Below are 10,976 nucleotides of genomic sequence, written 5' to 3' on the forward strand. Positions count from 1 at the left end.
TGGGAGAATGTGAGATGACGCTCTAATGGGTATAAAGCTTCCTTTTGAAGTGAAAAAAATTAATTTGGATCTAGATAGTGGTGGTAATGCCACAACATTTCAAATGTGTTACATGCCAATGAATCATACAGATTAAATGCTTAAAGTGTATAATTTTGTGGTGTGAAATTCGTATATCCGTTATTTTTTTTTAAACAATTACCTGACCAGATGTGATCGACCAAGAGGCCATAGTTTGTCAGCCCTTGGTTTATGCTCCAAGTTTAATTCCCACATGCTTGAAATAGTAAATGTGGGCATTTCTATCATTTGCATTAGAAACTTAGCATGTTTTGAAACTATAATGTATTATGCAATTATGTGAACACTAAAATTATTATTGTGGAAATTTTTTGACTTGTTTAATGATAATAGTACAAATTTTATTTTGCTGTACACACAATTGTTAGTACTTTGCAATATTAATTAATTTGTTCTTTAAATAACGCATGATATTGATAATGTGATGACAACTATTGCCATTTCATTGGTGAGAAAGCTGAGTCAAATAAAGTTCAAGTAACTTGTCCAGTCCCACATCATTATATAGTGATTTCTAAGGCTTGAATCAAGGCCATCTGGATCCAGAGTGCCAGCTCTTAACCACCAGGTTATATTGACTTTCCTATTTGGGGTACAGATATTTTCCAAGTGTAGTATCACAGTTTCCCATTATGTAGATATATATTAATTGTAATTTTATTACAAATGTATAATTTAAAATATGTAGAATTATTATTCCAGGTGTGTATCACTGCATAACAAATAGTTTTCAAATGTAGGGCCTTAAAACAACTGTAATCATTTTATTATCATGTCTCAGAATCTGTGTGTTAGGTGGGCTCAGTTATGTGTTCCTTCACAGAGTTTCTTAGGTAGCTACTTTTCTGTGGTGCCCGGGTCAATAATTATCTGAAGATCATTCACTTACATACTTAGAGATTCATGTTGAAAGGCTCCAAGTGCTAGTGGGCTACCAGGATTCCTTAGGCATATATTAGTGTCTCTCTACAAATTGTCATTTATTATGGGGAATACAGGTTGAGTTATTTAGTAATAGTGAGCGAAAAAAAAAAGACATGAAAAGAAGAAACAGAAAGAGCGAAAGAGAAACAGAGAATATGCTGTGTTTCCAGCAGTGCTTTGAAAGTTTAGCTGCATTATTTTCATTACATTCTTTTTGTTGAGACAGTTACAAAGTTTGCCAAACTTCAAAGGGAGGGAATATTGATAGGAAAATTGTCAGTGTATTTATAGTCATGTCTCAAAATAACAACAAATATAACCCTTTGAAGAAGGCAGCAGAAGTTATTAAACTATTGTAAAATTCATAAAATATTAAAAATGGTACAAGAAAAAATATTAAAATTACATGAATTTAGGTTTCTACAATTATTGCCATTTTTAAACATTGTGTTATATTTATTCATACATATTTTCAAAAATAGAACAAATGTCCTAAAAACAAGCTGCAAGTGGATAAAATAATATATGAGAAACATTGTCAAGTTTTTTGAATGACACTAGCGAATTAATAATGTGATGCCACATTTTGAAACTTCCTGTCTTAAATGGATGTGTTTATTTCACAAATTAAACTTTAAATATCATAATTAATACATGAAAACTTTCTGGAAAGTTAAACATTGCAGAATTATATAGAATAAAAATTTAAATTCTCATCCTTGTAATTACATGTGTTTTTCGAGATTCTTTCTTCTTTGTACCAGTTTGCATATATTTTATTTCATTGCAAAAAATACTTTTTTGTTTTTCTGGAAACTACTTTTTCTGTTTAGCAATGTGATAGTCAGCCTGTTTTCTGCAATGGCTCCCCTCATACATTTGTTGGAGGTACATGTGTTCAGTGGCTGAAAGCCATTTAAGTGCTGGAGGAATAATTCTGTTCATACATGTGCTGATGTGCATGGATTTTTCATGACAGATTCCTAAATGTAGAACTTCAGTTTCAAACGGCATATTTACATTTTATTATAAGGGTTATTTCAAATTATACTCCCTCAAAATAGATTTCTCAGGTTTTTATAGGGTGCAAATCTTCTGTATGACATCAATTTGTTGGCATTAATTCTATTTTACTGAGCATCAGTAACTTTTTAATCTTTTATGTCTTATGGGCCATTTTTACTTTGAATTGCTTCTTCATATTTTAATCACTTTTTAATTAGATTGTTTGTCAGTTTTGGTTAGTGATTTGTAGTTCTCACAGAACAATGGATACCAATCTTTTGTTATGTGTGTTATAGGATAGGTTTTATGTGAATTAATTCAGATTTATAAGCATGATAAAACAACATTATTAATCTTTGGCACTATATAAGTTCTGTGTTTCTTTATATCTGCATTAATTCCTAGATGATTTGTATAAAATTTTCTATAATCTCTCTATCTCATCAATGTTTTTGAGTGTGTGTGTATATGTATATTACATGATTTATCTATGTCTATATAATTATAAAGATACATATATGTATGTATATATGTTTTTAATCAGACCTTATGCTGTAGAATATTTTTGTGAGAAGTGATTAATGGCAAGACTTTTTAGTGACAAAGACAACTGGGTTTCTGTTAATCTGGACTAGTTTGATCATAAAGCGCTTCCCTGATGTGTAGATTAAAGGATATTTATGGCTTGATTTAGCTATTTTCCACAAAATTTATAAACTTTTTGTATCCTTTGTATATATTTTTTGGCTTACTAAAAATTTATGTTTCCATATTACATTTTTAGGAGCGATGAATCAAAAATCTCTGTGGAAAATAAAAAAATAGATATGATCATTTAAAGTACAGTTATGTATAATAATAATAATTATTTCAAGCTGTCTTCAAAATACACATTGAATTTCACCACACACCTATTAGCTAGTTAATTGATGCTGTGTCTTGTTTTAAAAGAAATGGACATATATGTGTACCTGTGTATTTAGCAAGATTGAAAAGTCACTAAGTCCCTTTAGAGTGTAATTTCTATATTATCACAACCTAAAATAAAGGACTTACATTTCTTACTAAAAGTCAAATATGATAATAAAACCCATATCAAATTTAGGATTTTTTTTCTAGTTCTCTTAAGCATGATGATGGTGTTTTGATGAGAATTGAATTGGATTTATAGATTTCTTTTCGCAATATGCTCATTTTCACAAAATTGATTCTACCCATCCATGAGCATGGGATGTATTTCCATTTGTTTGTGTCATCTATGACCTTTTTCAGCAGTGTTTAGCAGTTTTCTTTGTAGAGGTCTTTCACCTTCTTGGTTAGGTAGATTCCTTAGTAATTTGTTTTTTCTTTTTTTTTGCAACTATTTTCAAAATGGATGAGTTTTTTATTTGATTCTCAGCTTTGAAACCTGCATAGCCAAAGAAAGACTAAGAAAAAGAACAAACCTACAGGCATCACATTACCCAACATATTACAAGGCATATTGCAAGTTACCAAAACAACATGGTATCAGTATAAAAACAGGCATATCAATCAATGGAACGGAAGAGAGATTCCAGAAATAAAGACAAATACTTACAGCCCAATGAACTTTGACAAAGCAAACAGAAACATAAAGTGGGGAAATGACATCCTATTCAACAAATGGGGCTAGAATGATTGGCAGTCCCCATGTAGAAGAATGAAACTGCATCTTTGTCTCTCCCTTATAAAAAGCCAACTCAAGATGGATCAAATAATGAAATCTAAGACCTGAAACAATAAAAAATTCTAGAATGTAACATTGGAAAAACTCTTCTAGACATTAGGTTAGGTAAAAACCTCATGACCAAAAATCCAAAAGCAAACACAGCTAAAACAAAGATAAATAGTTGTGATTTAATTAAACTAAAAACTTCTGCCAGGAAAAGAAATAATCATCTGTGTAAACAGACAACTCACAGAATAGTGGAAAATATTCATGAACTATGCATCTGACAAAGGGCTAATGTCCAGAATCTTCAAATGGCAAAAAAAAAAAAAAAAAAAAAAAAAAAAAAAAATCCACAAGAGAAAAATAACCCCCAAAAATTAGGCTAAGGTAATAAATAGACAATTCTTAAAAGAAGATATATAAATGGCCAACATATATGAAAAAATGCTCAACTTCACTAATTATCAGGAAAATGCAAATCAAAACCACAATGCAATACCAGTATACTCCTGCAAGAATGGATATAATTTAAAAATCCAAAAATAATGAAATACTGGCATGAATATGGTAAAGAGGGGACACTTTTATGCTGCTATGGGAATGTAAACTAGTACAACTACTATGGAAAACCATATGAAGATTTCTATAAGAAATTACAGTAGAAGTACAATTTGATACACCTATCACTCTACTGTGTATCTTCCCAGAGGAAAGAAAATTTTTGTATGAAAAAGACCCCCACACATACATGTTTGCAACAGCACTATTTGCAATTAAAAAAAAAAGAATGGAACAAGCCTAAATGCCCATCAACCAACCAATAAGTGGATAAAGAAAATGTGGTATACATACATACACACACACACAGATGTTGCAGGAAGTCAGGGACCCAAATGGAGGGACTGGCTGAAGCTGACGCAGAGGAACATAAATTGTGAAGATTTCATTTTAATATGGACCGGTTCTCTGCTCTCGAACCCTGTTTTCTGTTGTTTAAAATGTTTATCAAGACAATACATGCACCACTGAACATAGACCCTTATCAGTAGTTCTGCTTTTGCAGTTTGCCTTGTGATCTCTGTTGGACCCTTATCAGTAGTTCTGCTTTGCCCTTTGTCCTGTTCCCTCAGAAGCATGTGATCTTTGTTCTGTCTTTTGCCCTTTGAAGCATGTGATCTTTGTACTTACTCCCTGTTCATATACCCCCTCCCCTTTTGAAACCCTTAAACAAAAACTTACTGGTGTGTGGGCATCACGGTCCTAGCAATATGTGATATCACCCCCGGCAGCCCAGCTGTAAAATTCCTCTCTTTGTACTCTTTCTCTTTATTTCTCAGCCATCCAACACTTATGGAAAATAGAAAGAACCTACATTGAAATATTGGGGGTGGGTTCCCCCAATAGTTGGCACACCAACATAGTTTTCTTTTTCCTAACTGCATGTGGGAAGCTGATTCCCTTTGGTAGATGAGGAGAAACGTTCATCTCTCTGGTCCACAGAAATGCTTGTTCAGCTCCCTGACAATTGGTGAGTTGTCTGAGTATTGTCTGGGGTAACTATGGGTCACATGGAGTCTAAACATTATGCTTATTTCTGCTATATTAAACTCTTGTTAAAACAGGGAGGAGTTTGAGTGCCCATGGAAAATATGGTCACCATATTCAGGGCAGTGGAGGACTACAGTCCTTGTTTTCCTGAAAAGCGAACATTAGATGTGGAACTATGGGATCATGTTGGTGCAAAATTCCAGGAACTGGTCCTGATGGGAAATTATGTTCCCATCACTGTTTGGGGTGATTGGACCTTGGTACGTGCTGTCCTAATGACATACCAATCCTGTGACCCCCTGCAGTTACCACAGTTTTCTGAATCTGGTGACCCTCTACCTCTTCCTCAGCTTTTCTCTCCCACTTGGCATTCGTTATCTGCTCAGCCTCTTCCCTTGCCTACTTTTCCTCCACCTGATGATGTTGAGGATTCAATATCTAACTCCGGTGACTTTGGCTTAACGTTCCCCCTGATGATCTTATTTCTTTTCATGAAGAGCCAGTATTTGTAGCTCCCACAGCCCCGACTTGGACAGCCTGGGACCATATCTACACTAACTCTTCCCTCTCCAACTCTTTGCAGTCTTAGCCTCCAGAGCCATCTAATCACTCTAGGACCAAACCACAATTTACCTGTAATTCTGCAAGTCCTCCCCCATCCACTGCAGCCCCTCACCCTCCTGTAATTTTGGTCCCTCAACCGGTCACTTTGCCATCCACTCAACCTGCTTCTCTGTACCCTTCTTCACACGTGGATGCCCCTGCCACTCTGGTTGCACAGGATTGGGCCAATAATCACCAGTATGTTTCTGCCTCTTCTGCTCCCCCAATGCCTCTTTCTCACACTCTTATACCAGTCCGACCTCCTCAACCTCAGTTTGCCTTGTCTACACATACTTTTTCTGTCACTTATATGCCAACTCCATCTCATGTGCCTGTTCTTGAAACTTTCATGCAATGCTTATTACTCCAGAATAAAGAAACAAGTGGATTAGACGCGTGGGCTTATCCAGTTGTGCTGGAATCTCCTAATGCTCAAGGGGTACAAGTGTGTCGATATGTGCCACTCAATCTTACCTTTTTAAAAGAATTCAAGGATGCTTGTACTCAGTATGCTCCTACTTCTACATATGTTAAAATGGTATTACAGACTCTTTGTACTGAGGTCATTTTGCTTCCTTTAGACTGGGACTTCTTGGCAAAAGCTGTTCTAACTCCATCTCAGCATTTACAATTCCATACCTGGTGGTCAGAGGAGGCCTGTCTACAGGCTCAGCTAAATCAGGCTGATGGCATTCTAATTACTCAGGCTCATTTCACAGGCTCCAGTAATTACTCTGACACTACCACCCAATTAGGCGTTGATGCTCTCACCATGGAACAAGTAACAAAGGTGTGTATGAGAGCTTGGGATAAATTTCACACCCTAAGCCAAGCTCCTGTTTCTTTTACTACTGTTAAACAGGGTCACAATGAATTTCATCCTGATTTTTTGGCTAAATAACAAGACGCTGTTCAAAAATCTGTCTCTGATGAGCACGTTCGAGGTATTCTCCTTCAAATGTTAGCTTTTGAGAATGTGAACCGTGAGTGTATAATGGCCATGCGTTCCATCCAATGAGAAAATTTACCTGATCATGAGGTGTTGCCTGCATATATTAAAGCTTGTGAAGGCATTGGATCAGAGACCCACAAAGCTATTCTGTGGGCATGGGCCATGAAGGACGGCAACTAAACTGGCTTGACTGATTCTTTTCTTGGAGCCTGCTATAATCATGGTCAACTTGTTCATACTCAAAAAATTTGCAGTGTTTAAAACTTAAAAGCTACCATGCCAGCTCAACAAACATGGCCAAAAGCTCCTGCTACTGTTTGCCCTCATTGTCATAAAGGTAAACATTGGGCAAGTACTTGCCACTCTAAGTCTGATACAGATGGAAATCCCTTGCCACAGAATCAGGGAAATGGGAAGCAGGGCTAGTCCCAGGCCCCAATATCAAATGGCACACCTCAGACTCAGACCAATGTTGCATTTCCAATTGAAGCGGTCCTAACGCAGCCCCCAGTACAAACAAATTTACCTACAGCAAACCCAGATGGGTCCCAGCCTCTTCTTCTGTCACAGTACACTGCTTGTCTACCTCCACAGTAGGGGGCAGGGTGGTTGATCTCCATAGTACCATTCCTCTAAATTTACTACCTAATTCTTGTCTTTTAATTGTCCCCACAGGGGTCACTGGCCCTTTACCTCAAGGTTCCATGGGCCTGGTGTTAGGTAGGACATCCACCTCTGCTAAAGGTATCATAGTTCCTACTGGTCTCATTAATTCTGATTCCTCTGATGAGATTAAACTTATGGTGTCTGCCAAGGTTCCTGTTTCCATTCCAGTTGGTGAGTCAATTGCTCAATTACTTTTATTACCTAATATTGTTTTAAACAAAGGAGATAAGACAGGGGGCTCTGGGATAGGCTCCAACAGTGAAAAAGCCGCTTATTGGATTAAAGTAATTTCTAAACAATGGCCCACCTGCACCATACACATTCAAGGAAAAAGGTTTGAGGGCATAGTGGATGCTGGGGCTGATGTTTCTATTATTTCCTCTAATGTATGGCCTTCCTTCTGGCTTAAACATCCCACTAACATGGGATAAGTAGGGGTTGGAAAAGCTGATGAAGTTCACCAGAGCACATTTATCTTGCCTTGCACTGGCCCTGATGGTCAAAAGGTACAATTCAGCCTTATATCACACCAATCCCCATTAATCTTTGAGGCAGAGATTAGCTGGAACAATGGGGGGCTGCAATTAATATTCCACATAGCTCTTATAGTGTTCCCAGTCTATATATAATGGAAAACATGACGTTTGTTCCTGGAATCGGTCTCGGTCCAAAACATGAAGGAATTACTAAACCTCTTCAAGTCACTATAAAAAAAGACAAGGCTGGTTTTAAATCATAATTCAACCACTCCTCATGCTCAATTACATTGAGCATTGTTTACTTTAAACTTTCTAAATGTTCCTAAAGTCAATACCCTGACTATAGCTGAACACCATTATACAGGCAAAAAATTCTCCCTAAATGAAAGCAAGCCAGTGTTATGGAAAAACTCCCAGATCAATACCTGGGAATCTGGAACAATTATAACATGGGGAAGAGGATATGCTTTTGTTTCACCAGGAGATCATCAGTCACCGGTCTGATTGCCCACTAGAAGACTTCGTGTGAATACTGACAAAACCACAGGGAAGAGACGTCCGCGTCGGAGACCACCCTCCTACCTGGTGAGATCTGTGCTGACTTCTCAAAAACTGGCATGCCAAATCAAAATGGGTCTGGTTCAATCCTCCCTAATGGCAACGGAGATCCCTCTAACCAATCCCACTTCTCCTAATTCCCTTTCTTTTTCTCCTTATGAACCTAAAAATCTCACCATTTCTATTAGCCTGAAAATAACGTCCCTCTGTTCTTCTCTTCCTCCTTCAGCACTGGATCTCACTTCCAATAGGTTTCATTTAATAATTCTCTTCTTTATACTTTCTGTGTCACCAGTTTCCCCCCTGAATGATCTGCTTCACAGAATTATTCCTACTGGGCTTAAGTGCCTTTTCCTCCACTTATTCAACCTCTCACCTAAATGGATGCTCCTGTGGAAATCTAAAGTAATGATATATGTGTGTATATATGTGTGTGTGTGCATGTATCGGGGGAACCCACCTGCAATATTTCAATGTAAGTTCTTTTTATTTTCCATAAGTGTTGGCCGGCTGAGAAATAAAGAGAAAGAGTAAAAAGAGAGGAATTTTACAGCTGGGTCATGGGGGGTGACATCACATATCAGTAGGACTGTGATGCCCCATAGCTACAGATGACTGTTGTCCCACTCAACCAGGAGAAGAAAGCACTGCGTTTAATGTTACTATGGGTTATAAGTACCCTCCCCTGTGCCTCACACATGCACCTGGTAGTATCCATTTAGAAACTCAAGTCTGGGCTGCTTATCTTCTGGAGATATTAGCTACAGGGGAATGGGGACATTTGGTCTCCGGCACCTCCCTTTCTTCTTTAAGACAAATGAAAAGGGGAGTAATAGGAGATACCCCATACCATCAATATAAACCTGTAGGAAAACAATGTCCTAAAAATTTTGAGTGCCCATCTAAAACTTTAAATTGGGAAGATTGTGTTCACTCACATACAGTATTATTAAAAAATGACTCATGGTTTAGTAATAGAGTGGGCACCAAAGGGCTATTTAAAAAACAATTGCTCCTCTGATGGAAGGGAATGCCTGGAGGCTACTTATTTTATTTCTTATTGGAAGGAAGAGGATCATCATCCTACTTTGCATAGGAGGTTCAGCTCATTCTTTCCCTTAAAATGGGAAGATAAAGGCATTACTCACCTGAGGCCTCATATGATATTCCCCTTTCTGAGCCCAGAACACTCAGAAATTTGGAAACTGGATATTGCCATGTCCAGACTGCGAGTATGGGAAGGAGAAAATTTTCTGTCTGTTGTCCCAATTACTGCCCCTCACATCCGTGATTATGAACCCCATGATAAATCCCGTTTGAACCCTTTTCCTCTGTTTGATGCCGATCCCCCTTTATGGGACTCCAATTGGCATTATGATGATTCTTCTCAACCCAGGTATGCTCCTCTACCTCTTCAGCATCCCCAGGCACCTTGGATTCCTTCTTTATGGCAGAGAACATTGGGCGTGGCCACAGCCACTCCTTTCCCTCAGTATCAGTGTAGATTCAAACATTCTGCTTTTTTTACCTCCAAGTTGTATTTTTCTATACAGTGTTGTGTTAAGCTTCCTTACATGCTGTTAATGGGAAATATCAAAATTTGGACAAACAATCAAACTGTCCAATGCACTAATTGTCATTTATACACTTGTGTTAACTTGTGTTTTGACTCCAGGAAAAGTAAAATGTTAGTTTGAGCTCGAGAAGGAATCTGGATACTGGTAACTTTACCCAGACCTTGGGAATCTTCCCCCTCAGTACATTTAATTAATGAAGTGTTACAATGAATTCTCAAAAGATCTAAGAGATTTGTTTTCACTTCATTCGCTGTGATCATGGGCCTAATCAGAGTCACTGCACTGGCAACCACTGCTGGAGTGGCATTATACCAATCTATTCAAACAGCTCATTTTGTCAATGATTAGCAAGTCAATTCCACCCAAATGTGGAATTCTCAACAAGACATTGATCAAAAATTAGCTAATCAAATTAATGATTTAAGACAGTCTGTTATTTGGCTTGGAAATCAGCTGATGAGTCTCGAACATCACATGCAAATGCAGTGTGATTTGAATACTTCTGATTTCTGTATCACACCATATTCCTACAATGAGACTGATCATTCATGGAAAATGGTCAAAGGACACCTTCTGGGTAGGGAAGATAATTTATTCTTGGACATAACTAAATTAAAGAAACAAATTTCTGAAGCCTCTCAAGCTCATTTACCCATTGTGTCTGGAGCTGAGGCGTTAGATCAGGTGGCAGAAAGTATTTCTGGACTAAACCCCACGACTTGGATTAAGTCTACTGGGGGCTCCACGGTAGTAAATTTTGGAATAATATTTCTCTGTTTAATCGACTTGTTTTTAGTGTGCTGGACCAGTCAAAGATTCCCGTGTCAAAACCTAGAGAACAAACAAGACTTTGCACCATGGCACATTTATATAAAAAGAAAGGGAGGGAT

General features: G+C 37.4%; 1 long non-coding RNA gene across 1 annotated transcript in view; it reads left to right on the forward strand.

The window, feature by feature from the left end:
* The window catches only part of LOC105377267 (uncharacterized), a 34,668-nt gene that overhangs the window by 5,136 nt on the left and 18,556 nt on the right, over positions 1-10,976 (forward strand). The window contains exon 2 of the long non-coding RNA NR_136191.1: positions 8,433-8,536. This is a non-coding gene — a long non-coding RNA (uncharacterized LOC105377267). The remainder of the gene's footprint in view (positions 1-8,432; positions 8,537-10,976) is intronic.

This window comes from Homo sapiens, chromosome 4, assembly GCF_000001405.40.
Source record: "Homo sapiens chromosome 4, GRCh38.p14 Primary Assembly".
NCBI lineage: Eukaryota > Metazoa > Chordata > Mammalia > Primates > Hominidae > Homo > Homo sapiens.